Here is a 24,892-nt window from a genome sequence, read left to right on the forward strand (position 1 = left end):
CAGTCCGGCTGACCGACTGGAGGGCAGCCCAGGCCCGGCCAGGGTGACTCGCTAAGTGTGGTTGGGGTGGATTTCGTTTTCCTAAAGTGGCCTGAGTCTGTCAGGTTATCCTTGACTCCCAGAGTTGGGCACAGGGCCTGACACGCCACAAGCTGTCAATACGTGCCTGTTCAGTGAATGACAGGTGTGGGACTGTGCACCCCCAGCCACTTCCCAGCCCCCGCACACCCAAGACCGGGGGTTCCTGAAGCCTGGACCACAGACAGGCAGCCTGCTGGAGCCTGTGCCCCTGGGACAGTCAGGCCAGCCTCGGGGGCCCGCCTAGCCCAACTTTTTTTTTTTTGAGACGGAGTCTCGCTGTGTCCCCCAGGCTGGAGTGCAGTGGCGTGATCTCAGCTCACTGCAACCTCTGCCTCCCGGGTTCACACAATTCTCATGCCTCAGCCTCCCTAGTAGCTGGGATTACAGATACATGCCACCAAGTCCCGCTAATTTTTGTATTTTTAGTAGAGATGGGTTTTCACCATTTTGGCCAGGCTGGTCTTGAACTCCTGATCTCAAGTAATCCACCTGCCTCAGCCTTCCAAAGCGTTGGGATTACGGGTGTGAGCCACTGCGCCCGGGCCAGCATTACTTCTGAGCTCTGCTCCCTGCCCTGGGCGCTCTGACACGGCAGCCCACCAGCTTCACTCCAGGGCCCTTTGCTTCCCTGGCTTCCCTTTGTGCCTGGCTTTCCCTCATTCTTCAAAACATCTTCCTCTGAACCAGGCTGGGAGTGGGCAGTTGGCATTCCAGCTCTGGAGTTGGAACCCCAGTTACCCATCTACTTTGAGTCCTCCCACCCGTGGTGAGACGGCATCACCCGGGCCAATGCAAGGTGAGAGCAAGGACACCTGAGCCAGTGTGGGTTTGAGAGTTTAATCTGTGCTCTGGCGCCCACAGTGCTGCAGCCCCTCATGGGCCAGAGACAGGATGCACGGGGACTCCCAGCCCCTACCCGGCAAGAGAGGCATCACTGAGGCTGCATCTGCCATGCGCTCCTGGTGTGACTGCACCCTGTCAGGCCAGACCCGGCTTGAGCCAACTTAGCCAAGCCAGCGTCAGTGTCACCAGCCTCATGGGTGGAGCCACCCTCATGCTGCTCTGCAGCACCCTCTGAACCCGATATCCCAGGCCTGGGAGGTGCTGAAGGCTCAGGACGCCTCTTATTGCTCTGAAGTCTTTGTGACCAAGTGGAGTGCTGTGACTGTGGGGCCAAGAGAGAAGCTGCCAGGTACAGGGAAAGGCGCTGGTAGGGAGCCAGCCAGAAGGTGCAGCATCCCGGGATGGCCCTGCTGAGTCTGCTGTCAGGCCTGTGAAAGGTCAGCAGAGCCAAGGAGCAGGCAGGAGAGGCTGGAGCCCCGCCCAGAACCTTGGCGAGCTGGTGGCCCTGCCAAGTCCTGCTGGCCACTGAAGAGGGAATCCAGGGCAAGGCAGGTGACCTCCTGGGCCACCAGTCTCTAACCCCTACCCCAGCCTAGGGAAGGGGAGGACAGGAAGAGACTGGATGCTTTGTAAAGGACTTCCTGTTCTTGGGGACATAACTCTCGTCCCCTCCCAGAGCCCTGGATGACTGACAGGCATTCCTTGGCCAACACATGCTTGAGCCGCGCTGCTGGCTGCAGGGCACCTGGATGACAGGCATTCCTTGGCCAACACATGCTTCAGCCGCGCTGCCGGCTGCAGGGCACAGAGGCTCCTTCAGTGGAATTTTGCCTACGACACAGAGCACAGCTATTAATACACTTAAAATTCAAATCCATTGCCTGACACAGTTGTTCAAAGTTAAAAACTGGTAGCAGCACTGCTCTGAGCTCCCTGCACTGCAGCCCGGAGTTCAGTGAAGGCGTCCACGCCATGGTAGCTGCTCCGTCCAAATCACCTGGGTATAAATGCACACTTGAGACAGCAGAGCTTTAGCTGGGCTGCGTTTACAGAACTGGGCAGCAGCCCTGGGTATCTGAAACGGAACAGACACTCAGTTGTGACATCAGAGTGGTTTTCAAGGAAGTAAGGGAGGTGGGAGAGTGGTGAGGGCAGCACTTTGCACCCAAGGGCAGGGAGATGCCACCTGGGAGCAGCCGCCTCCTCCACTCCCACCCTGCTGGGAGGCACAGGGACACAGAAGGCTCCGCTGGACTTTCAGTCATACTGATGGGGCTCTGGTCCATGCAAGCCTCTCCCAACAGTCAGAATAATCAGTCCCTCTGCCCCCTGAGGGGCTGGATCCCTGAATGAGTTTTTCAATAAAATACAGGACACACACCCCTAGACCCGCCTCAGTCCCATCGGCAGGCCCTGGTTACCTGAATCCCGGACAGGTGCAGAGCCTGCCCCTGCCAACCCCACCCAAGGCCCAGAACCCAGCCCACAACGCCTTCCAAGCCTAAAAGTGCATCTTCGATTACAAGCATCTGTAAACAAAATCGTCCCCCAAACGTGTACTTACAAGGTTAACAATGAATGCCTTTGCTTAACTCCAATTACACTCTTTGAAGCCACTTAGCCGAGCAGATGCTTAAGCCCCACCTATTAATTTGGGTAACTGGTTTTCAATTTCTTTTTTTTTATTCTGCAGATTAAAGACACTCAATCTTTAACCTTGAAGGGCAGGCAAAAGGTCGGCTATGCTGTCAACATAGAAGTCAGGGACCATTTTCTTCTTAGACACGCAGTCACTTTCCTGATTATTCTTCACATCCCCTAGAGTGGAGACTCCGGTGAGGGTCAGGATGGTCTTCAGGCCACAGGTGGCGCCTAGGAGGATGTCTGTGTCCAGGCGGTCTCCCACCATGACGGTGCGCTCGGGGTTGATGCCGTATTCCTGGGACACGCAGTCGAAAATGAAGCGGCTGGGCTTCCCGATGATGTCGGCCTGGCGCTGGGCGGCCATCTCCACGGCTCGGACCAGACACCCGGTACCTGCGGGGCACAGGGGACCGGGTCAAAGGGCAGGGAGGGGGCCCGCCGCCCGCCCCCCAGCCTCCCGCCCCAGGGCGCACGGACCCGCGATGAAGCGGCCGTTCTCAAGCGGAAGCCGGTTGTCCATGTTGGTGCCCACGAGCAGGCAGCCGGGCTGCTGCAGGTAGCGCAGGGCCTTGGTGAGCTTCATGTAGCTGAAGTGCGGGTCAAAGCCCACCACCACCGCGCGCACGTCGGGCTCCAGCGGCGCGTGCAGCCAGTCGCCGGGACCCTCGCCCTGCAGTGGCTCGGGCCCCACGCCCACGCTGGCGACGCCCACGGCCTCCAGCTCCGCGGCCAGGGCTGGGCTGCCCAGCACGTAGGCCTTGGGCGCGGGGGCGCCGGCCAGGCGCTGGCGCAGGTAGAGCGCGGTGCAGTAGGCCGTGCCGAAGACCTCCAGGCTGGCGCCGGGCCCCGCGGGGCCGCCGAAGCCCAGGCGCCGCAGCTTCTCGGCGTAGGCAGCGCGGGTCTTGCTGCTGTTGTTGGTGATGAAGCCCAGGCGCTTGCCGCGGGCTCGCAGCGCCCGCAGGGCCTCGGGCGCGCCAGGCACGGCGGTCTCCCCGCGCCACAGCACGCCGTCGCAGTCGAACAGCAGCGTGTCCACGTCGGCCAGCAGCGCCTGTGCCCGCTCGGCGCTCAGCCGCACGCAGCGGGCGTCGTCGCCACCGGCCTCCGCCGCCGCCATCGCCGCCCGCCGGCCGCCGCCGCCCGCCGGCCGCTCCTCGCAGCCGCCCGCCGCGGCGCCCTCCCCGCCCCCGGGGCGCTCATTGGCCCAGCGCCTCGCGCCCGCCGCCCATTGGCCTGCACCTTCGCCAATCCGCCCCCGCCTCCCGCGGGCTGCGGGAGCTCAGCGCCAATCGGTGAGGCCCGGCGCGGGGAGAGGGGCGATCATTGGCTACCGGCCTTGGGACGCCCCGGTGATTGGCTGGCAGGGCTCCAACCGGCATTCGGAGTGAAGCGCTCGCTGCGGAAATGCGCCAGAGGGGAGAGCAGCGCAGGCGCAAGGCCGCTGTTCCCGGGCTGCCGCGGGCCGCTCACCCATTGGAAGCGAGTGGTCAGCCTAGGTGACGAGGCCCTTCACGGAGTGACCCGGGCCAGGCCGGCTGTCCATTGGCCGGTCTCTCCCGCGGGCATGGGCGGGGCTCTCGCAGGAGCGCCGCGGGAGGGGGCCGGGGCACCTTCGTCGGCCGTGCCCGTGCCTCTGTGCCGTGGACGCGCTCGGGACACGGGGCCACCACGTGGGTCGCTTACCGGCCAGTCCCGCGAGCCAGCCCGGGGCTCCTTCCCCGGCAGGCGTGAGTACGCGCCTCAGTCCTTTGCAAAAACGCGTTCCCGGTTCCTTGGAGGTAACACGAACCAGCCATTACCAGGCTGGGGGATTAGGGTCTAAGGACACTGTCTAGAACCTGGTACTCAGTGATTGCTCGCCGTCATCGTCATCAATTATTAGGTATTTAATTGAGGCAAAACATTACAGTAAAGGGCATGAAAACCGTGCAGCTCGATGGAAGTTTTACATTTATTATTATTTTATTTACTTATTTATTTACTTTTTGAGACGGAGTCTCGCTCTGTCGCCCAGGCTGGAGTGCGGTGGCGCCATCTCGGCTCACTGCAAGCTCCGCCTCCCGGGTTCACGCCATTCTCCTGCCTCAGCCTCCCGAGTAGCTGGGACTACAGGCGCATGGCACCACGCCCGGCTAATTTTTTGTATTTTTAGTAGAGACGGGGTTTCTCCGTGTTAGCCAGGATGGTCTCGATCTCCTGACCTCGTGATCCGCCCGCCTCGGCCTCCCAAAGTGCTTGGATTACAGGCGTGAGCCACCGCGCCCGGCCTTTTATTTTTTTAATTATTATTTTTTGAGACGGAGTCTCTTGCTCTGTTGCCCAGGCTGGAGTGCAGTGGCGCGATCTCGGCTCACTGCAAGCTCCGCCTCCCGGGTTCACGCCATTCTTCTGCCTCAGCCTCCTGAGTAGCTGGGACTACAGGCGCCGGCCACCACGCCTGGCTAATTTTTTTGTATTTTTTAGTAGAGACGGGGTTTCACCGTGTTAGCCAGGATGGTCTTGATCTCTTGATCTCGTGATCCGCCCACCTTGGTCTCCCAAAGTGCTGGGATTACAGGCGTGAGCCATGGCGCCCGGCCGGAAGTTTTACATTTTTACATGTATATATATATTTTGCGACAGGGTCTTGCTCTGTCCCCCAGGCTGGAGTGGAGTGGCTAGATCACAGCTCACTGTAGCCTTATCACAGCTCACTGTATCCTTGACCTCCTAGGCTCATGTGATGCTCCTACCTAAGCCTCCAAAGTATTTGGGACCAGAGGTGTGTGCCACTACGCCTAATTTTTTTTTTAATTTAAATTTTTTGTAGAGACGGAGTCCCACTATGTTGGCCAGGCTGGTCTCCAACTCCTGGCCTCCAGTGATCCTCCTGTCTTGGCCTCCCAAAGGGCTAGGATTACAGGCGTGAGCTGCCGCACCCAGCAGATTTTTTTACATATGTATATGCTTGTGTAAACATAACCCAGACCAAAGTATAAAGTATTTCCAACACCCCAGGAAGTTCCCTCTTGTTCCTATCCAGTCAATAGCAGATAGCACATTGCTGACTACTTTTCTGACTCCTATCACCATAGAGTCACAACCAAGCCTCCGGACTGCTTTATACTTGGGATTATACGGTATGTGCTTCTGGCTCTTGCTTCTACGGTTTAACATAATGTTTGTGAAATTCATCCTGGCTGGGTGCTGTGGCTCACACCTATGATCCCAGCCCTTTGGGAGGCCGAGGCGGGCAGATCACCTGAGGTCAGAAGTTGGAGACCAGCCTGGCCAATATGGTGAAACCCCATCTCTGCCAAAAGTACAAAAATTAGCCGTATGTGGTGGCACATGCCTGTAATCTTAGCTACTTGAGAGGATGAGGCAGGAGAATCGCTTGAACCTGGGAGGCGGAGGCTGCAGTGAGCCGAGATTGCACCACTGCACTCCAGCCTGGGCAACAGAGCAAGACTCCTATCAAAAAAAAAAAAAAAAAAAAAAAAGATGACTTTGACTTTGAGCAGAACTGGATTTGACAAGAATCACACTCTGCTTTTACCACAGAGCAACAGGTAGTTGATTTGAGACAACGGCTGGAATGGGAACTGTTGATGATACCCAGCCATGGGCCATCTTCTCCCACACTTGCCCGGCTGCCTTGGCTTCCTGGGCACTCTGTGAGCACCTAGGCCGCTGCACCGCTCCTTCCCTGCATTACCTCCTCAGAGTCACAGGACAGGCCTGAGAGGCAGGGATTATTCACATCTCCATTTATAGATGGCCAAACTGAGCCACCGAGAGTCGCCGGCTGGACAAGGTTGAGTTGGGATTAAACTCAGTCAACCCCAAAGCTGAGCTCTGCCCCATCTGGTCGGCTTAACGTCCTCAGAATATGCCTGTATGTGTGCAGGTAGGAGGGGAGGCATGGTCACTTGTGGGGAAGGTCCTGGCGGAGGCTGGGAGGAAAGTGCGCTTTATAGGAGAGGACTGACTTTGGGAACAGGGTGATGTGGCCCTGCATCTGGGGCTAGAGGACCCCTTTGGGTGCCCCCCACACAGGAGGCATTCAGTCTCTATCTGTGAGGGGATGGCCCCAGTGTCTCCCCAAGTAAGGATCTTGTACTGCAAGCCGACCTGGGGATGGCTTTCAGTGGCACGAGAACAGACACTATTTCACCTTAACAGAGTTGCATCAATTTACATTGCAATAGAAAATATAAGTAGCCCGCTAGGCGCGGTGGCTCACGCCTGTAATCCCAGCACTTTGGGAGGCCGAGGAGGGCAGATAACCTGAGGTCAGGAGTTAGAGACCAGCCTTACTAACATGGAGAAACCCCATCTCTACTAAAAATACAAAATTAGCCGGGCGTGGTAGCACACGCTTGGGAGGCTGAGGCAGAATTGCTTGAACCCAGGAGGCGGAGGTTGCAGTGAGCCAAGGTTGCACCACTGCACTCCAGCCTGGGTGACAGAGTGAGACTCGATCTCAAAAAAAAAAAAAAAAAGGATTTTGTAGTTCCTGTTTGGGTCTGGCTGTGGAATGTCCACAGGCATTATTCTGTTGAGCCAGGCTGAGGCCTGCATGGGAAAGGAGGCCGTTTGGAGAAAGGGAGGGTCTAGTCTTGCTGCCTGTGCCTGGCCTCTCTGCCTTCCAAGGGTCTATCCACTCCCATGCTTGCCAGTGGCCTGGGCTCTGGGCAAAGCAGGGCCTGAGGTCACCTGATCAGGATGCCCTTTTCTTTTTGAGATACGGTCTCACTTTGTTACCCAGGCTGGCGGGCAGTGGTGCCATCTCAGCTGACTGCAACCTCCGCCCCACCAGGTTCAAGCAATTCTCCTGCCTCAGCCTCCCTAGTAGCTGGGATTATAGGTGTGTGTCACCACACCTGGCTAACTTTTGTATTTTTTTTTTGTTCGTTTTGAGACCGAGTCTCGCTCTGTTGCCCAAGCTGGAGTGCAGTGGCGCGATCTCGGCTCACTGCAACCTCCGCCTCCGGGTTGAAGCGATTCTCCTGTCTCGCCCTCCCGAGTAGCTGGGACTACAGGCGTGTGCCACCACACCCGGCTGATTTTTTTTTTTTTTTTTTAGTAGAGACAGGGTTTCACCATGTTAGCCAGGATGGTCTCAATACCCTGACCTCGTGATCCGCCCTCCTTGGCCTCCCAAAGTGCTGGGATTACAGGCGTGAGCCACCGCGCCCGGCAACTTTTTTTTTTTTTTTTTTTTTTTTTTGAGACAGAGTCTCGCTCTGTTGCCCAGGCTGGAGTGCAATGGCATGATCTCGACTCACTGCAACCTCCACCTCCTAGGTTCAAGCGATTCTCCTGCCTCAGCCTCCTGAGTAGCTGGGATTACAGGCACATGCCACCAGGCCTGGCTAATTTTTGTATTTTTAGTAGAGACGGGGTTTCACCATGTTGGTCAGGATGGTCTTGAACTCCTGACCTTTTAATCCCCCCGCCTCGGCCTCCCAAAGTGCTGGGATTACAGGCATGAGCCACCGTGCCCGGCCCAACTTTTGTATTTTTAATAGAGATGGGGGTTTCTGCTGTGTTGGCCAGGCTGGTCTCAAACTTCTGACCTCAGATGATCCGTCTGCCTCGGCCTCCCAGAGTGCTGGGATTACAGGCGTGAGCCACCGCTCCCGGCCCCCTTTGCCTCTTAAAGGCCTCACCTCTTTTTTTATTTTTATTTTTATTTTTATTTTTATTTTTATTGATCATTCTTGGGTGTTTCTCACAGAGGGGGATTTGGCAGGGTCATAGGACAATAGTGGAGGGAAGGTCAGCAGATAAACAAGTGAACAAAGGTCTCTGGTTTTCCTAGGCAGAGGACCCTGCAGCCTTCCGCAGTGTTTGTGTCCCTGGGTACTTGAGATTAGGGAGTGGTGATGACTCTTAAGGAGCATGCTGCCTTCAAGCATCTGTTTAACAAAGCACATCTTGCACCGCCCTTAATCCATTCAACCCTGAGTGGACACAGCACATGTTTCAGAGAGCACAGGGTTGGGGATAAGGTCACAGATCAACAGGATCCCAAGGCAGAAGAATTTTTCTTAGTACAGAACAAAATGAAAAGTCTCCCATGTCTACCTCTTTCTACACAGACACGGCAACCATCCGATTTCTCAATCTTTTCCCCACCTTTCCCGCCTTCCTATTCTACAAAGCCGCCATTGTCATCCTGGCCCGTTCTAAATGAGCTGTTGGGCACACCTCCCAGACGGGGTGGTGGCCGGGCAGAGGGGTTCCTCACTTCCCAGTAGGGGTGGCCGGGCAGAGGCGCCCCTCACCTCCCGGACGGGGCGGCTGGCTGGGCGGGGGGCTGACCCCCCCACCTCCCTCCCGGATGGGGCGGCTGAAGGCCTCACCTCTTAATGCTGTTACATTGGGGATAAAGTTTCAGCATGAGTTTAGAGGGGACAATCATCCCATCCATACCCCTAAATCCCCTGGATACCGGCTTCTCAGTTACTCCTCAGCACACCATGAATGGAGGTCTTTTGGGGCTCTGCACTCACCTCCTCCATGGCTTCACCTCACCCACCTGTCTCCTGGTCCTCCTCCCCAGCAGCTCCCCAGAACCCTCAAGCTCCAAAAGCTCCAACCTGCTCTTCGTTCTGTTTGCCCCACTCAGAGACCACCCATTCTGGCTCTCAGTGGCTTTCTGAGCCCCTTCCTGCTTCTGCTTAAGCCCTAAAATCCCCTTTTTTTTTTTTTTTTTGAGACAGAGTCTCGATCTGTCACCCAGGCTGGAGTGCAGTGGCGAGATCTCGGCTCACTGCAACCTCCGCTTCCCGGGTTCAGGCCATTCTCCTGTCTCAGCCTCCCGAGTAGCTGGGACTACAGGCAGCCGTCACCACACCCGGCTAATTTTTGTATTTTTACTAGAGACGGGCTTTCACCATATTGGTCAGGCTGTCTTGAACTCCTGACCTCAGGTGATCTGCCCGCCTCAGCCTCCCAAAGTGTTGGGATTACAGGCGTGAGTCACTGGGCCCGGCCTAAAGTCCCTTTTTCTGTGCAGCAGTTAGAGGGATGTTTCTGCAACACCCACCATCATTCCCTCTGCTCAAAACCTTGCAGTGGTGAGCAACCTACTTGCAGAAAGCGGGCCCATTGTTACCCCAACCTGACTGCCGATCACCTTACCTGAGCCTGGAGGTGGAGGCTGCTAGGATCACACCAATGCACTCCAGCCTGGGTGACAGAGTGAGACCCTATCTCAAAGCAAACAAAACAGGGCCAGGCGCAGTGGCTCACGCCTGTAATCGCAGCACTTTGGGAGGCCAAGGCGGACGTATCACGAGGTCAAGAAATCAAGACCATCCTGGCTAACATGGTGAAACCCCATCTCTACTAAAAATGCAAAAAAATTAGCCAGGCATGGTGGCGGGCATCTGTCGTCCCAGCTACTCCGGAGGCTGAGGCAGGAGAATGGCGTGAACCCGGGAGGCGGAGGTGGCAGTGAGCCGAGATCATGCCACTGCACTCCAGCTTGGATGACAGAGTGAGACCCTCAAAAAACAAACAATGAAAGTCACATATTGTAGGACATGTTCACAACAGGTAAATTTATCATGGAGGCAGAAGGTAGACTGGCGTCTACCCAGGGCTGGCAGGGAGGGGCGGATGGGGAATCACTGCTTCAAAGGCACAGGTTTCCTTTCAGGGTGCCGGAAAGGTTCTGTACCCACATAGCTGTGATAGTTGCACAACACTGTGAATGTCGCTAATAGTAAATTTTATGTGCACTTACCACAGTTTTTTTTGAGACGGAATCTTGCTCTGTTGCCCAGGCCGGAGTACAGTGGCACGATCTCGGCTCACTGAAACCTCTGCCTCCCAGGTTCAAACGATTCTCCTGCCTCAGCCTCCTGAGTAGCTAGGATTACACGCGTGCACCACCACACCCAGATAATTTTTGTATTTTTAGTAAAGACGTAATTTTGCCATGTTGGCCTGCTTGGTCTTGAACTCCTGATGTCAGGTGATCCACCCACCTCAGCCTCCCAAAGTGCTGGGATTACGGGAGTGAGCCACTGTGCCTGGCCCACAATTTTTTAAAAGTATGTAAGAGGGCTGAGGCAGGCAGATCGCTTGAACTCAGGAGTTCTATAGCAGCCTAGGCAACATGGCAAAAACCCATCTCTACAAAATATACAAAAATTAGCTAGTGATGGGCACCTGTAGTCCCAGCTACTTGGGTGGTTGAGGTAGAGGCTGCAGTGAGCTGAGATCACGGCACTGCACTCCAGCCTGGGCGACAGAGCAAGGTGCTGTTTCAAAAAAAAATCTGGCCAGGCTCGGTGGCTCATGCCTGTCATCCCAGCACTTTGGGAGGCCAAGGGGGACGGATCACCTGAGGTCAGGAGTTCAAAACCAGCATGGCCAACATGGTGAAACTCCGTCTCTCCTAAAAATATAAAAAAATTAGCCGGGTGTGGTGGCAGTTGCCTGTAGTCCCAGCTACTCAGGAGGCTGAGGCAGGAGAATCGCTTGAACCTGGGAGGCGGAGATTGCAGTGAACCAAGATCGTGCCGTTGCATTCTAGCCTAGGTGACAGAGCGAGACTCCATCTCAAAAAACAAAAACAGGCCGGGCGCGGTGGCTCATGCTTGTAATCCCAGCACTTTGGGAGGCCGAGGCGGGCAGATCGTGAGGTCAAGAGCTTGAGACCATCTAGGCCAACATGGTGAAACCCTGTCTCTACTAAAAATACAAAAATTAGCTGGCCATGGTGGTGCACTCCTGTAGTCCCAGCTACTCGGGAGGCTGAGGCAGGACAATCATTTGAACCCAGGAGGCGGAGGCTGCAGTGAGATCGCGCCATTGCACTCCAGCCTAGGTGATAGAGTGAGACTCTGTCTCAAAAACAAACACCCCAAACAAACAAAAACCAAAAACAACCCCCATCTCCAAAACCAAAAATTCAACGTGGCTGGGAGTCGTGGCTCACGCCTGTCATCCTAGCACTTTGGGAGGCCGAAATGGGAAAATGGTTTGAGGCTAGGAGTTTGAGACCAGCCTAGTCTAAACAGCAAGACCCTGTCTCTATTTAAAATACATAATGCAAATAAATTTTAAAAAATTTAAAAAGTGGCTGGGCACGGTGGCTCACGCCTGTAATCCCAGCACTTTGGGAGGCCGAGGCGGGCGGATCACGAGGTCAGGAGATCGAGACCATCCTGGCTATCACGGTGAAACCCCGTCTCTACTAAAAATACAAAAAATTAGCCTGGCGTGGTGGCGGACACCTGTAGTCCCAGCTACTCAGGAGGCTGAGGCAGGAGAATGGCGTGAACCCGGGAGGCAGAGCTTGCAGTGAGCCGAGATCGCGCCACTGCACTCCAGCCTGGGCGATAGAAAGAGACTCCGTCTCAAAAAAGAAAGAAAAAAAAATTAAAAGTATATAAAAGAATAAAACAGCTTCGCAGAGCTACCCATGAGCCATCCCCGACCCGTGTTCTTTTCCCGTGACCCGGGTAACCATCTTGGGAGGCTCTAACACCCTAGGCGGTCAGTGGGCAGCAGGCACCACACCCCTGGTTGGAGCTGTGGCGGCTTCCCAGCAGCAGCCGCGGGCGGGGCGACCTGTCCTTAGGTACGGAAGCGCTGGGGCGCGGCTGCCTAGCAGCCGCCAGTCCGCTCGCCCCTCGCGTTCTCTGGCTCTCAAATCCGAGTGCAGCCTCGAACATAGGTCCTTCTGCCGCCCCGCCCCCTGGCTGGCAATCTGCTCCACCGTAACCACGCCCTCCCCACAGTCCCGCCCCATCTTCGCTCTCAGCGCGCCCGGCCCCGCCTCTGCCCTTTAAGGCCACACCGCTATCCAGGCCCGGCTCCCCGCCTGTCCGTCAATCCGCTCCGGTTCTGCCCCGCCCTCCTCTTGCCGTTCCCTCACGCTGGCCTCGGCGCGGCCCGTTGTTATGACGACATGGTCGTAAATCCGCCATCTTCCTGCGGCGCGTTGCGACATGGAGGGCGCGATGGCAGTGCGGGTGACGGCCGCTCATACGGCAGAAGCCCAGGCCGAAGCCGGGCGGGAAGCGGGCGAGGGTGCAGTTGCGGCGGTGGCGGCGGCCTTGGCCCCCAGCGGCTTCCTCGGCCTCCCGGCGCCCTTCAGCGAGGAAGGTAACCGGGCCGACCCGGAGGGTGCGGCCGGGGTGCGGGCAGTTCATCCCGGGCTGGCAGAGGCCCGGATGGCCCGAGCTGCGGGCTCGACCGACCCTCCCAGACCCAGACACCTCGCGGATCTCGCGGGACCCTCACAGCCCTCCACGAAACCCCCAGGTTTGCTGCGACCCTCACGGGCCTCTCCTGCGGGGCGCCTGTCATCCCCCCTCTCTGGTGTGCGTCCACAAGTGCTCGCGGGTTGCTGAGCCCCCGGGCGCCCGGTGTAGACATTCGCAGACGCCGGCGTCCCGGCCCTTCTCTGCCTCCGATGCCTGAGCCTGGCCCTCCCCTCCTCTGGGCCCCTTCCTCCTGCACCTGATGGGCGTCTAGGGCCCTGTTGGTGGTTCCAAGAGGGTGGGGCCTCGGTTTCTCCAGGATCTGGGCTCTGGGCCTGTCCGTAGGGAGGCAGCAGAGCCTAGTGCAAGAGGGCTGGTGCACTGCAGCCAGCCTGTGGCCCCTTCCAGTCCCACACTTGCCGCTTTCTAGTTCTTTGATCCTGGGTAGGTGACCCTACCTCTGTGAACCTCTATTTCCCCTACAGAATGGGGCGGCGGCTTCTGCCAGTAATGTAACAAGCCCTTATCCTGCTTTAGGTTTTTTCATTCTCAAACCAGTCCTGACAGGTGGATGTTATTGTTATTCTCATTTTGGGGATGAGGAAAATCGAAGGTTGGAGACCTGAAAGTGACCGGGTGGGCTGGGTGCGGTGGCTCACGCCTGTAATCCCAGCACTTTGGGAGGTCGAGACGGGCGGGTCACGAGGTCAGGAGATGGAGACCATCCTGGCCAACATGGTGAAACCCGTCTCTACTAAAAATACAAAAAAACAAAATTAGCCGGGCGTGGTGGCGGGCGCCTGTAGTGGGGAGGCTGAGGCGGAGAATGGCGTGAACTCGGGAGGTGGAGCTTGCGGTGAGCCGAGACCGCGCCACTGCACTCCAGCCTGGGCGGCAGAGCCGGACTCCGTCTCAAAAGAAAAGAAAATGACCAGGGTCACCCAGGTAGTTAAGTAGCAAGGGTTGGATTGGATCTCAGCACTGTGAAGGCCTTCACAGCCCCTTTAACTTCCGGGCTCTGCTGCCTCATAGAAGCATCATGGGAATTAAAATAAAGATTGTGGCCAGGCGCAGTGGCTCACGCCTGTAATCCCAGCACTTTGGGAGGCCAAGGTGGGTGGATCACCTGAGGTCAGGAGTTCGAGACCAGCCTGGCCAACATGGTGAAACCCCTTCTCTACTAAAAATACAAAAATTAGCTGGGCGTGGTGGTGCGCGTCTGTAATCCCAGCTACTTGGGAAGGTGAGGTAGGAGAATTGCTTGAGCCCAGGAGACGGAGGTCGCAGTAAGCCGAGATCGCACCACTGCTCTCCAGCCTGGGTGACAGAGCAAGACTGTCTCAAAAAAAGAAAAAAGATTGTGTGTCATGTGCCGAGAGCAGTGTTGGGGATGCACTAAGGGCTCATTCCTGGGGGCACTGAGAGCTTTTGGAGATGGAGCTTGGGTCTGTACCCTCTGAGCTTGTCCTATGAGGCTGCAGATGGCTGGGCACTGTGGCTCATACCTGTAACCCCAACACTTTGGGAGGCTGAGGTGAGAGGATCACTTGAGCCCAAGGAGTTCCAGACCAGCCTGGGCAACATAGTAAGACCCCGTCTCTATTTTCTTTTTTTTTTTTTTTGAGACGGCGTTTCTCTCTTGTTGCCCAGGCTGGAGTGCAATGGTGCGATCTCGGCTCACCGCAACCTCCGCCTCCCGGGTTCAAGCTATTCTCCTGACTCGGCCTCCTGAGTAGCTGGGATTACGGCACGCGGCATCACACCCGGCTAATTTTGCATTTTTAGTAGAGACTGGATTTCTCCATGTTGGCCAGGCTGGTCTTGAACTCCCGACCTCAGGTGATCTGCCCGCCTCAGCCTCCCAAAGTGCTGGGAATACAGTCGTGCGCCACCGTGCCCGGCTCCTCCCAGTCTCTGTTTAGGAAAAAAAAAAAAAAAAAAAAAAGGCTGGGCGCAATGGCTCGCGCCTGTAATCCCAGCACTTTGGGAGGCTGAGACGGGCGGATCCCGAGGTCAGGAGATCGAGACCACCCTGGCTAACAGGTGAAACCCTGTCTTACTAAAAATACAAAAAATTAGCTGGCCGTGGTGGCAGGCGCCTGTAGTCACAGCTTCTCAGGAGGCTGAGGCAGGAGAATGGCATGAGCCCAGGAGGCAGAGCTTGCAGTGAGCTGAGATCGCCCCACTGCACTCCAGCCTGGGCAACAAAGCGAGACTCCGCCTTGAAAGAAAAAAAAAAAAGATGCAGATTGGGTCAGACAGGAAGGGAGGTTGTTAATGATTGGGTTGAGGGTGGTCTTGTCTTTGTCCCCATAGGATTCATAGTCTCTGCCTTTTTTCCTTGCCCCTTCTCGTTCCAGCTTGGAGAAGGGCAGTGCCCTCATGGCGAGGAGTCCCTTTAGAGGTTGCTGGGCCTGCTTGTGGCCTTGTCTGGTGTGAAATGGGCTGGGTGTGTCCCCTTCTGGGGTAGGGGGTTCTTCAGTGGCAATGCCCTGGAGCCGAGTGAGACACAGGAGTAGGGTGGGAAGGGGAAGAGGGTGGTGGGCACCTTAGAGCTTGGTTTGTGACTGGGAGCCATCAGGAGAGGACGACTCTGTTGGGTGGCCCCTGCAGGCGAGTCATAGCTGTGGTTTGGCCCTTTCTCCGCCCTCAAATTCAACAGTAAACATTTGCCCAGCTCCTTCGGGCATCAGGCCTGGGTTTGATCCTGCCGAGGGACTGAAGGTGAATGGTCAGAGCTGGCAGGCTTTTATGGAAGCAGAAGAAACAGCTCCTATCCCTTTGTGTAAACAGGTACTGTCCCTGACACTCAGCCGTTTGGTGACCTTGAACTTCAGGTCATTTTCCTAGGATGGGAATAGTTCTCTCCATTTCCACAGGGTGCTGGCAAGATTTGGTGACGTCCCCAGTGAGGTGCTTGGCACACAGTGAGGGGGTGGTCTCTTCTGCACGACCGGGGTCCGGCACAGCAATGGTGACGGGCTCAACCTTGGGAACCAGTAAAGTCCCAAGTCAGTGAGCAGAGTGGTTGTGGGTCAGCTCCCTGCATTTGCCTCTCAGCCAGAGCCAGTGGGCATCAGTCTCCTGGGCCCCAGCCCATTTTACAGATGAGGAGATGGCCACTCACATGCTCCAGGGCACGCTCAAACTCCCGCAGTTTTTGTTTGTTTGTTTTGTTTTTGTTTCTTTTAAGGCAGGGTCTTGCCCTGTTGCCCTGGCTGAAGTGCAGTGGTGTGATCATGGCTTACTGCAGCCTCCACCCCTGGGCTCAATCAATCCTCCTGAATAGCTGGGACTACAGGTGCATGCCGCCACACTTCCACGCTTGGCTAAATGTTTGTTTTTTGGTTTTGTTTTTTGAGATGGAGTCTCTCTCTGTTGCCCCGGCTGGAGTGCAATGGGGAGATCTTGGCTTACTGCAACCTTCGCCTCCCAGGTTGAAGTGATTCTCCTGCCTCAGCCTCTCGAATAGCTGGGATTACAGGCATGCGCCACCAAGCCTGGCTAATATTGTTTTTTTTGAAACGGAGTCTCGCTCTTTCGCCCAGGCTGGAGTGCAGTGGTGTGATCTCGGCTCACTGCAAGCTCTGCCTGCCGGGTTCATGCCATTCTCCTGCCTCAGCCTCCCGAGTAGCTGGGACTATAGGCACCTGCCACCATGCCTGGCTAAGTTTTTTGCATTTTTAGTAGAGACGGGGTTTCACGGTGTTAGCCAGGATGGTCTCAATCTCCTGACCTCATGATCCGCCCGCTTCAGCCTCCCAAAGTGCTGGGATTACAAGCATGAGCCACCGCCCTAATTTTGTATTTTTAGTAGAGATGGGATTTCACCATATTGGTCAGGCTGGTCTCGAACTCCTGACCTCAGGTGATACACCTGTCTCAGCCTCCCAAAGTGTTGGGATTACAGGTGTGAGCCACCACACCCAGCCTAAATGTTTAACAATGTTTTAAAAACTTTTTTTTTTTTTTTTTTGGTAGAGATGGGTCTTGCTATGTTGACCAGGCTCGTCTTGAACTCCTGGGCTCAAGCTATCCTCCCACCTTGGCCCCTTAAAGTGCTGAGATTACAAGTGTGAGCCACCATGCCCGGCCCCAGCAGTCTTAAATCCTGGTCCTTTACTGTCCCCAAATTAGCATGGAGGAGTCCCTCTGCCTCCCAGCCCCTCTCTGGGCCTCTCGCCTGTCAGTCGCTGAGGTGGGTTTTGAGCATGGCAGCCTTAGCAGGTCCCTGCAGCCTAAGCGTGCTGTCAGGGCCACCCTCTGCTGGGTGCTGACCTCCTGAGGGTGGGTCTGGCCCCTGCAGACCTGCAGAGGATAGGGGCTGTACCTTGGGATGACCTTGTTTTGGGCCCGAGTGTGTTCTCAGCAGCCTGGGGAAGTAGCTCTGCTTCTGATGGCCTCCTGGGGGAATCTGTTCTAGGGCTGGAGGAAAAGCCAGACGGAGCCCTGGCTGCCCAGCCTCCGCCTTCCCAGGCCCTGCTGACAGCAGGCTCGTTGCAGATGAGGACGATGTGCACAGATGCGGCCGCTGCCAGGCAGAGTTCACCGCCTTGGAGGATTTTGTTCAGCACAAGATTCAGAAGGCCTGCCAGCGGGCCCCTCCGGAGGCCCTGCCTGCCACCCCTGCCACCACAGCGTTGCTGGGCCAGGAGGTGAGCCCTCACCCACTCCCCCATCCCCTCCCGGGTTCACCTGACAGGTGGGGGAGGTGGCCGCGCTTCAGGATGGACCTGTGCAGCCGGTTCCGGGGGCCACGTGGGCGGGCAGAGGGCAGGCACCTGGCTGCGGTGTGGGAGGGTCCGGGTGTGTGAGCCTGTGGTGCTCTGGGGCGTCCTGGAGGGCCTGCGGTGGCCCAGCCTTCTTGGCAGCCTCTGGTCGAAGCCCGTGCTGTTGGGGGCCGGGATCTCTTCTTTCTTGGAGCTGGAGGGTCTCCTTTGGCTCTGGGGTACCATGGCAGCTTCTGTCTCTTTGGCTTATCTTCTGTCCTGTGCACACAGTCCCTAGGGACTTCACACGTGAAGTGTGGCCCTGGGGGGTCCCGCCATCTCATCAGCAAATGGCCACCTTTGCTGAGCCCCACGCCCAGCTTGGGCTGGATACACAGGCCTGTGAACCCCGCACACGCCGCAGCGGGCGCTTGTCATCCGCATTGCACGGTCAGGAGAGCAGGCTCAGAAAGTGGTCAGTGGCCTCTGGCCACCAGTGGGCCGTGGCCCAGATGATGCTGGACCCTGGACACCCCACTCTGAGCCTGTGCTCTTTACCTGCTCCTCCCAGAGGTGCCCCCTCCTCCAGGAAGGCCTCTGGCCCACACCTCCAGGGCCCTCTCCTCACACCGCTCTGCCGGATGTGGCGGGCTGGGACTGTGCCATTGTTCCTGCAGACTGGCCCAGCTTCCTGCCAGAGTTGCTGCTCCCTCCCTGCAGGCGCCCTGTGCTCCAGGTCCAGCCCACGTGGCCAGAGGTGTGAGAGTGACGGCGCTGACCCTGGCCCGGGGGTGAAGGGATTGGACTGGGACCGGTGGTCGTGTTGGGGAAGAGGAGAGCCCCCACCCCAGCCGTCCCAAGGACGTGGACCCAGGCCTGAGCACCACAAGTCACACCTCCACAGCTTTACACTGGCAGAGCCCAGGCCTCTTCTCTGAGAACTAACTCTGGAGCATACAGACGACTCCCCTGTTTTCTTCCCCCTTTGGCAGGTGGTGCCGGCAGCACCAGGCCCAGAGGAGCCCATCACTGTGGCCCACATCGTGGTGGAGGCGGCCTCTCTGGCAGCAGACATCAGCCACGCATCTGACCTTGTTGGTAAGCCGACTTCCATGAATCGCTGGCCTGATAGACCTTCGTGGTTGGGGCCAGAGGATGGGGCCCCTGCTGCCTGTATGCTCGTCTCTCCCGAGACCAGGGCCTGGCTGGGAGGGGCCGCGGCCTCGTGGCAGCCTTTCTGCGGGCACAGCCTGCAGGAGGAGGAAGCGTTGGGCACTGGGCCTTCCTCAGGTGTCCACAGTGGCCGGGGGCACACCCAGGCACCAGGGAGTCATTGGGCTGTGCTCTCTCCCGTCAGCTTTCCCGGGTGGTCTCTGCCGTGTCCCTCCCAGAATCTTCCCCACTTCCCTGCCACCCCCTGGTTCCTGCTCCCTGCCCGTAGGCAGCAACATCCACCAGGCACCCACCAGAATGGCCCACTCGCCCAGCAGCGGCTCTGGAGGGTGGGTACAGGGTGGACGGGACTCTCCCGCCTCTCTAGCTGGGCTCGGACTTGCTGCTGGCCGTGGCCTGCCCTCCCCAGTGCTCCCTCTGGTGTGGGAGTGGTGATTGCTACACTGGTCCTCATGGGGCTTTTATGAGCGTGCAATGCCAGGACTCTTTGATGGCTACTTTTTAAGTGAAGATGTCTCTCTCCCTGATGTGCTGTGGGAGGGGCTGTTGCGAGGTCTGGATGGGCAGGCTCTCATCGGGGACAGATGCTTGTGCAGGGGGGCATTCAGAGGCAGCCAGGGCCTGGGCAGGTTGAGGGAGCTAGGGGCTGCTGGGGTTGGGGGTGCGGCAGGGGCGAGTGGCTAGGTGTGCAGACGCGAGGGAAGGAGCTGTCTAGGGACCTGATGCTGTGGGAGGTGGGGCGGGGCATGGCTGCTGCCTGGGGAGCCTGCTGGACCGGGGCTGAGGCAGGCGGGGAGTGGGCAGCTGGACAGGAAGTAGGTTTGGGCACCAGGCGGAACCTGGCCTTGGGCAGCCCTGGGGACTGGCTGCAGCAGGAAGAGGGGGTGGAGGAGCCGTGGCGGAGGCCAACCCGGGGCCTGGGAAGGGCACCTGTGAGCAGGCTGCTCTCCAGGAGGCAGCCAGGGCACCTGTCTCACCTCCGTGCTGCCTTTCCCTGGCATTCCTGCGACCAAGACACTCATCAATGCCACTCAGAGCTCGGAATGTTCATGTGGGAGGTGGGGCGGGCTCTGGCCTTGACCTGGCGTTTGGTTTCTGGGATGGTGGCGTCACCTGGGAGCATGAACTCCTTAGGTTCTGGCGGGGTCTCTGGGCTGGGTCTCTGGCCAGCCAGGCCCCTTTCCACCCACCTAAACTCTAGCAGCCTCCAGCCCTAGGCTCAGCACCCCTCCCTGTGCTTCAGCAGCCCCTCTTGGCACCCCTGCCACTCTGGCACCCCTGGGATTTTCCCCTTTGCGGGCATCCTGGGTACTCTGTGTGTGCCCTTGGCCAGTCAGCAGGCCCGGTGGGCTTAGTCCAGGGCTGCTAGCTCTCCTGTTGGCCTCTAGTGGAGATGGCAGAGGGTCCTGCCTGCTGGTGGCCAAGGGCTGGGGCGTGCCAGGTCCTGTCTTTGCGGGTGCAGGGGTGCGGTCAGCTGTGTGGGCAGTTGGAACCCACCTCCAGGCCCTCCTGCCGCTTCGCGGAAAAAGTTCGCGTCTCCTCTGGCCTCGCAGCAGCCATGTTCCCCCAGGTCCTCCCCATCAGAGGCCTCTGTCCTTTGGAAGATCACTCCTGGGGCATCGAGCGTGTAAGGGCTCGGGCAGGAGAGGCTCTTAATTGTTTCTGAGTCACCACGCTTTTGTCGTGTTTCAAGAGAACAGCTTGTCAAAACAAGACGCCAGCCGGACTGAGGTGGTTTCTAAGCAGTGGCTTCACAGCTGTTTCCCACTTGTCATCTTTATGAGCAGAAAACCTGAACTGTGTTTACAACCTAGCTTTGCACATTGTCAGATTTTTCCCAGCATCCTCCAGAAGTGCAAAAGCCCAGCTTCCTCGCCTCAGGCTGTCCCGGGTGTCTGGAGAGCGTTCACTCTCCCAGGCCAAGCCTGCCTTGGGACGGGGCTCTGGCCAGGCCTGCCTGCCCTGCTGCAGTGGCCCAGCCCATCTCCTCCGATGGAAGAGTGGCCCCGGACGCACATCCTCCCTATGTTGGTGGGAGCAGTGGCAGGAGCAGTGGCAGCGAGCAGGACAGGCGGCTGTCTCTTCACCCAAGGACCTTGTCACCAGGATTCGCACGTCCTCCTGGCTTTGGGGATGGGGCATCTGTGCTCCATGGTGGGTCTCCCTGTGGACACATTTAGGGGCCCTGGAGCATCTCTGGGCAGCCTGACAGAGTCGGGAGGTGTCTCTCCACCTCTCACTCTGACCTGGAGAGGTGAATGGGACCTTGGCTGTTGCTCGGACCTGTGTGTTGAGGGCTCAGTGCAGGTTGGGTCCAGGGTGTGGCTCAGAGCAGCAGGTCCCCTCCCCTGGAGCCAGCAGTCTCTGGGGTCTCTGGACAGGGGCAGGTCCTGGGGCTTAGGCCCAGATGCTTCTCCTAGGTGGTGGGCACATCAAAGAGGTCATCGTGGCTGCTGAGGCGGAGCTGGGAGACGGTGAGATGGCCGAGGCCCCGGGCAGCCCCCGCCAGCAGGGGCTGGGGCTCGCAGGGGAGGGTGAGCAGGCCCAGGTGAAGCTACTGGTGAACAAGGATGGCCGCTATGTGTGTGCGCTGTGCCACAAGACCTTCAAGACGGTGAGCCGGCGTGCGGGGAGCCAGTGTGTGGGTGGCAGGCCCCCTCCTGTTCCCCCAGGAGGGCCCTGAGCTGCCACGCCCTCCCCCACAGGGCAGCATCCTCAAGGCCCACATGGTCACTCACAGCAGCCGCAAGGACCACGAGTGCAAGCTCTGTGGGGCCTCCTTCCGCACCAAGGGCTCACTCATCCGGCACCACCGGCGGCACACGGGTGAGCTGGCCGCACCTCGGGCTGGAGCCCGGTAGCACCCCGATGGTTGGCCCTGGGGTGCCCCAGCCTCGCATTCCCCAGCTTTGGGGGATGAGGCGGGGGCCCCTGCCTGCCTTCGCCTTGTCACCTTGTCGCCAGCCTGCTGGGGCTGCCCGGGGCTGACTAGGTTCTCTCTGCAGATGAGCGCCCCTACAAGTGCTCCAAGTGTGGAAAGAGCTTCCGGGAGTCGGGTGCACTGACCCGGCACCTCAAGTCTCTCACCCCCTGCACAGAGAAAATCCGCTTCAGTGTGAGCAAGGACGTGGTTGTCAGCAAAGAGGACGCACGTGCAGGTCAGCATGGTGCGGGCAGCTGCCTGGTCCTGGGGGCTGGCTGTGGACGCAGCCGCCACTGGGGTGTGTGAGGGATCTTCACTCCCTCACTCCACCTTGAAGGTTCTGGAGCTGGAGCTGCCGGCTTGGGGACAGCCACATCATCGGTGACAGGCGAGCCTATAGAGACTTCACCCGTGATTCACCTGGTGACAGATGCCAAGGGCACCGTCATCCACGAAGTCCACGTCCAGATGCAGGAGCTGTCCCTGGGCATGAAAGCCCTGGCCCCAGAGGTGGGGGCGACGGGGGGCCCCGGAGGGCTGCTCTGTCTTCTGCCTGCTCGGTGCCAGTCTTTGTTCTGGGCACTGGCTCCAGGGGTCTGAGCCAGGCAGGCGAGGGCTGGGCTTCCCACAGGGAGAGCAGGGCCAGTGGGAGCGCCATGGGGGTCTGAGGGTTTGCACAAGGCTCCTGGCGTGCGTCTGCCCCATGGGGTGGGTGCTGGATGCCAGGCTGCCTGGCCAGCCTCCTCTCTCTGCCTCCCCTGCAGCCCCCCGTCTCCCAGGAGCTCCCCTGCTCCAGCGAGGGCAGCCGTGAGAACCTGCTGCACCAGGCCATGCAGAACTCCGGCATCGTCCTTGAGCGCGCTGCTGGGGAGGAGGGTGCCCTGGAGCCAGCTCCTGCTGCCGGGTCCAGTCCCCAGCCCCTGGCAGTGGCAGCCCCGCAGCTGCCGGTACTGGAAGTGCAGCCGCTGGAGACAGTAGGTGCCAGCACCACCTGCGGGCTCCTCCCAGGGCTGGATCCCAGGGGCTGTCCCCACGCTGGCCTTCGCCTCCCTGAAGTGGCTTTCTGCAGTGACTTTGTCCATTGATCTGTTTACTGCCTTCCCTGGGGCCACAAGGGAGCCTGCCAGGGTGGGGCCCATGGTTGTGTTCTTGGTACTGCCAGGGCACAGCCTGCCCCGGGTGCTGGAGACCTTCCTGTGGTTCCCCAGCAGGTGGCCAGCGAGGCCTCAGCGGTGCCCAGGACCCACCCATGTCCTCAGTGCAGTGAGACCTTCCCGACAGCAGCCACCCTGGAGGCCCACAAGAGGGGCCACACCGGTAGGTGATGGGTGGGTGTGTGGCCCATGGCAGTGGATGGGCTATAGGTGGCCGGGGTGCTTCTGGGTGTCCAGGGTGGGTCCATAGACAGCAGGGAGCCAGGGGATCTGTGGGCAGGTGGCAGGCGGCCTGGCGGGCCCGCGGGTGATGGGCTTGGCCTGATGCTGTGTGTGGCTGCAGGGCCGAGGCCGTTCGCCTGCGCGCAGTGTGGCAAGGCCTTCCCCAAGGCCTACCTGCTCAAGAAGCACCAGGAGGTGCACGTGCGTGAGCGCCGCTTCCGCTGTGGCGACTGCGGGAAGCTCTACAAGACCATTGCCCATGTGCGTGGCCACCGGCGCGTCCACTCAGACGAGCGGCCCTACCCTTGTCCCAAGTGTGGCAAGCGCTACAAGACTAAGGTGGGTCTCTGGCCGCAGGACCCTGGCGCCTGATCCCCCCATCCTGCTCCCTGGCCGTGGCCCAGGTGCACCCCCTTCCCTGCCTCCACCATGCTCAGTCTTGACCCAGCCCCTCCCTTGGGCCACAGGCGGGAGGGGAGAGCTGTAGTCTGTTGTGGCCAAGGCCAGGCTGGCACTGACAGGTGTCTCCACAGAACGCACAGCAGGTGCACTTCAGGACACACCTGGAGGAGAAGCCGCACGTGTGCCAGTTCTGCAGCCGTGGCTTCCGAGAGAAGGGCTCACTGGTGCGGCACGTGCGACACCACACAGGCGAGAAGCCGTTCAAGTGCTACAAGTGCGGCCGTGGCTTCGCCGAGCACGGCACGCTGAACCGGCACCTGCGCACCAAAGGTCTGGGCCGGTGGAGGTGGGAGGGGGAGGGGAGGGGGCCGGGGCTTGCCTAGCCCTGACCGAGTCCCCACCCACAGGGGGCTGCCTGCTGGAGGTGGAGGAGTTGCTGGTGTCTGAGGACAGCCCCGCGGCAGCCACCACCGTCCTCACGGAAGACCCGCACACAGTGTTGGTGGAGTTCTCGTCCGTGGTAGCTGACACCCAGGAGTATATCATCGAGGTGGGTGTGGGGCCCTGGGGCCGTGCTGGGACCCAGGGGCAGCCAAGGCTGACCTCTGTCCTTCTGCCCATCTGCCCAGGCCACTGCGGACGATGCGGAGACCAGTGAGGCCACGGAGATCATCGAGGGCACCCAGACAGAGGTGAGGGGTAGGGCAGGCGGGGGCGGGGAGGCTCCCTGGCACAGCCGCTCTTGCTGAGCCGTGGCCCTGCAGGTGGACAGCCACATCATGAAGGTGGTGCAGCAGATCGTGCACCAGGCTAGCGCCGGCCACCAGATCATCGTGCAGAACGTCACCATGGACGAGGAGACGGCGCTGGGCCCAGAGGCGGCTGCCGCCGACACCATCACCATCGCCACCCCCGAGAGCCTGACAGAGCAGGTGGCCATGACGCTGGCCTCGGCCATCAGCGAGGGCACTGTGCTTGCCGCCCGGGCAGGGACAAGTGGCACTGAACAGGCCACTGTGACCATGGTGTCATCAGAGGACATCGAGATCCTGGAGCATGCAGGCGAGCTGGTCATCGCCTCGCCGGAGGGCCAGCTGGAGGTGCAGACGGTCATCGTCTAGCATGAGGTCTGCGGGGTCCTGGCCGGGCAGGGACAGGGCAGAGGACTCTGAGCGCCCCACCCATGCCTGCCTGGCCTGGTAGAGAAGATGGCACAGGATGGAGGCGCCCCAAGACGGACAGTGTACATAAGAGTTTCTTGTTGCTTTACAATAAAACATGAGAACCTGCAGCTTGTGATGTTGTGGCAGTGGCAGCCTCCGCGGCTGGTGCCACCACCTTTGCCCAGGCCCCCGCAGCAGCACCTGCCTCCCAGGCCACTCCTAGACTCACGTGCCTGGCCGCCCCACCCAGGGGCTTCTGCCAGCCCTGGCGGCGCCTTGGTGCTGTGTGGGTGTCATTGGCATGTTGACCAACAGCCTCCTGCCCTGCCCAGCTGGAGCTGTGCCCCCAGCTGCGCTGCCTGAGGCCTGT

General features: G+C 59.0%; 2 protein-coding genes across 13 annotated transcripts, besides 14 other annotated features; one reads left to right on the forward strand and one right to left on the reverse strand.

Moving 5' to 3' along the window:
- Nucleotides 1–500: 500 nt before the first annotated feature.
- Nucleotides 501–3,748, reverse strand: PGP (phosphoglycolate phosphatase). Its single transcript, NM_001042371.3, has 2 exons — nucleotides 3,046–3,748; nucleotides 501–2,961 (listed from the first exon to the last, which is right to left on the reverse strand). Exons 1-2 carry the CDS (start codon nucleotides 3,683–3,685, stop codon nucleotides 2,636–2,638), a joined length of 966 nt encoding a protein of 321 aa, NP_001035830.1. The 5' UTR covers nucleotides 3,686–3,748; the 3' UTR covers nucleotides 501–2,635.
- Nucleotides 656–1,469: an enhancer, noted in NCBI's record as "H3K4me1 hESC enhancer chr16:2261749-2262562 (GRCh37/hg19 assembly coordinates)". NCBI's record gives its function as "activates a minimal SCP1, AML or CMV promoter by ChIP-STARR-seq in primed H9 embryonic stem cells {active_cell/tissue: H9 hESC(primed)}" and the evidence as "EXISTENCE:reporter gene assay evidence [ECO:0000049][PMID:30033119]".
- Nucleotides 656–2,283: a biological region, named in NCBI's record as "H3K4me1 hESC enhancers GRCh37_chr16:2261749-2262562 and GRCh37_chr16:2262563-2263376".
- Nucleotides 1,356–1,650: an enhancer, noted in NCBI's record as "tiled region #11897; K562 Activating DNase matched - State 2:TssF, and HepG2 Activating non-DNase unmatched - State 14:Gen5'". NCBI's record gives its function as "activates a minimal TATA promoter and a strong SV40 promoter by Sharpr-MPRA in K562 cells, with weak activation in HepG2 cells {active_cell/tissue: HepG2 | K562}" and the evidence as "EXISTENCE:reporter gene assay evidence [ECO:0000049][PMID:27701403]".
- Nucleotides 1,470–2,283: an enhancer, noted in NCBI's record as "H3K4me1 hESC enhancer chr16:2262563-2263376 (GRCh37/hg19 assembly coordinates)". NCBI's record gives its function as "activates a minimal SCP1, AML or CMV promoter by ChIP-STARR-seq in primed H9 embryonic stem cells {active_cell/tissue: H9 hESC(primed)}" and the evidence as "EXISTENCE:reporter gene assay evidence [ECO:0000049][PMID:30033119]".
- Nucleotides 2,705–2,834: an enhancer, noted in NCBI's record as "active region_10258". NCBI's record gives its function as "activates an Ori minimal core promoter by ATAC-STARR-seq in GM12878 lymphoblastoid cells {active_cell/tissue: GM12878}" and the evidence as "EXISTENCE:reporter gene assay evidence [ECO:0000049][PMID:35858748]".
- Nucleotides 3,275–3,324: a silencer, noted in NCBI's record as "silent region_7035". NCBI's record gives its function as "represses an Ori minimal core promoter by ATAC-STARR-seq in GM12878 lymphoblastoid cells {active_cell/tissue: GM12878}" and the evidence as "EXISTENCE:reporter gene assay evidence [ECO:0000049][PMID:35858748]".
- Nucleotides 3,665–4,324: a silencer, noted in NCBI's record as "silent region_7036". NCBI's record gives its function as "represses an Ori minimal core promoter by ATAC-STARR-seq in GM12878 lymphoblastoid cells {active_cell/tissue: GM12878}" and the evidence as "EXISTENCE:reporter gene assay evidence [ECO:0000049][PMID:35858748]".
- Nucleotides 3,856–4,150: an enhancer, noted in NCBI's record as "tiled region #5944; HepG2 Activating non-DNase unmatched - State 1:Tss, and K562 Activating DNase unmatched - State 1:Tss". NCBI's record gives its function as "activates a minimal TATA promoter and a strong SV40 promoter by Sharpr-MPRA in HepG2 and K562 cells {active_cell/tissue: HepG2 | K562}" and the evidence as "EXISTENCE:reporter gene assay evidence [ECO:0000049][PMID:27701403]".
- Nucleotides 8,839–9,463: an enhancer, noted in NCBI's record as "H3K27ac hESC enhancer chr16:2269932-2270556 (GRCh37/hg19 assembly coordinates)". NCBI's record gives its function as "activates a minimal SCP1, AML or CMV promoter by ChIP-STARR-seq in primed H9 embryonic stem cells {active_cell/tissue: H9 hESC(primed)}" and the evidence as "EXISTENCE:reporter gene assay evidence [ECO:0000049][PMID:30033119]".
- Nucleotides 12,194–12,333: a silencer, noted in NCBI's record as "silent region_7037". NCBI's record gives its function as "represses an Ori minimal core promoter by ATAC-STARR-seq in GM12878 lymphoblastoid cells {active_cell/tissue: GM12878}" and the evidence as "EXISTENCE:reporter gene assay evidence [ECO:0000049][PMID:35858748]".
- Nucleotides 12,394–12,563: an enhancer, noted in NCBI's record as "active region_10259". NCBI's record gives its function as "activates an Ori minimal core promoter by ATAC-STARR-seq in GM12878 lymphoblastoid cells {active_cell/tissue: GM12878}" and the evidence as "EXISTENCE:reporter gene assay evidence [ECO:0000049][PMID:35858748]".
- E4F1 (E4F transcription factor 1) lies at nucleotides 12,499–24,650 on the forward strand. 12 transcript variants are annotated; one of them, XM_005255155.2, is made up of 14 exons: nucleotides 12,499–12,837; nucleotides 17,280–17,431; nucleotides 18,478–18,583; nucleotides 21,079–21,272; nucleotides 21,364–21,484; nucleotides 21,664–21,816; nucleotides 21,919–22,091; nucleotides 22,346–22,555; nucleotides 22,790–22,898; nucleotides 23,079–23,296; nucleotides 23,491–23,689; nucleotides 23,767–23,909; nucleotides 23,989–24,051; nucleotides 24,124–24,650. In XM_005255155.2, exons 1-14 carry the CDS (start codon nucleotides 12,522–12,524, stop codon nucleotides 24,478–24,480), a joined length of 2,514 nt encoding a protein of 837 aa, XP_005255212.1. In that variant the 5' UTR covers nucleotides 12,499–12,521; the 3' UTR covers nucleotides 24,481–24,650. The 12 variants fall into 12 exon arrangements, with proteins under 12 accessions (XP_005255212.1, XP_011520704.1, XP_005255213.1 ...); XM_011522402.2 differs by having other exon boundaries at nucleotides 23,767–23,879; XM_005255156.2 differs by having other exon boundaries at nucleotides 22,793–22,898.
- Nucleotides 12,624–12,713: a silencer, noted in NCBI's record as "silent region_7038". NCBI's record gives its function as "represses an Ori minimal core promoter by ATAC-STARR-seq in GM12878 lymphoblastoid cells {active_cell/tissue: GM12878}" and the evidence as "EXISTENCE:reporter gene assay evidence [ECO:0000049][PMID:35858748]".
- Nucleotides 12,794–12,933: an enhancer, noted in NCBI's record as "active region_10260". NCBI's record gives its function as "activates an Ori minimal core promoter by ATAC-STARR-seq in GM12878 lymphoblastoid cells {active_cell/tissue: GM12878}" and the evidence as "EXISTENCE:reporter gene assay evidence [ECO:0000049][PMID:35858748]".
- Nucleotides 14,189–14,689: an enhancer, noted in NCBI's record as "H3K4me1 hESC enhancer chr16:2275282-2275782 (GRCh37/hg19 assembly coordinates)". NCBI's record gives its function as "activates a minimal SCP1, AML or CMV promoter by ChIP-STARR-seq in naive H9 embryonic stem cells {active_cell/tissue: H9 hESC(naive)}" and the evidence as "EXISTENCE:reporter gene assay evidence [ECO:0000049][PMID:30033119]".
- Nucleotides 24,651–24,892: the final 242 nt, after the last annotated feature.

The sequence above is a fragment of the Homo sapiens genome, chromosome 16 (genome assembly GCF_000001405.40).
Source record: "Homo sapiens chromosome 16, GRCh38.p14 Primary Assembly".
NCBI lineage: Eukaryota > Metazoa > Chordata > Mammalia > Primates > Hominidae > Homo > Homo sapiens.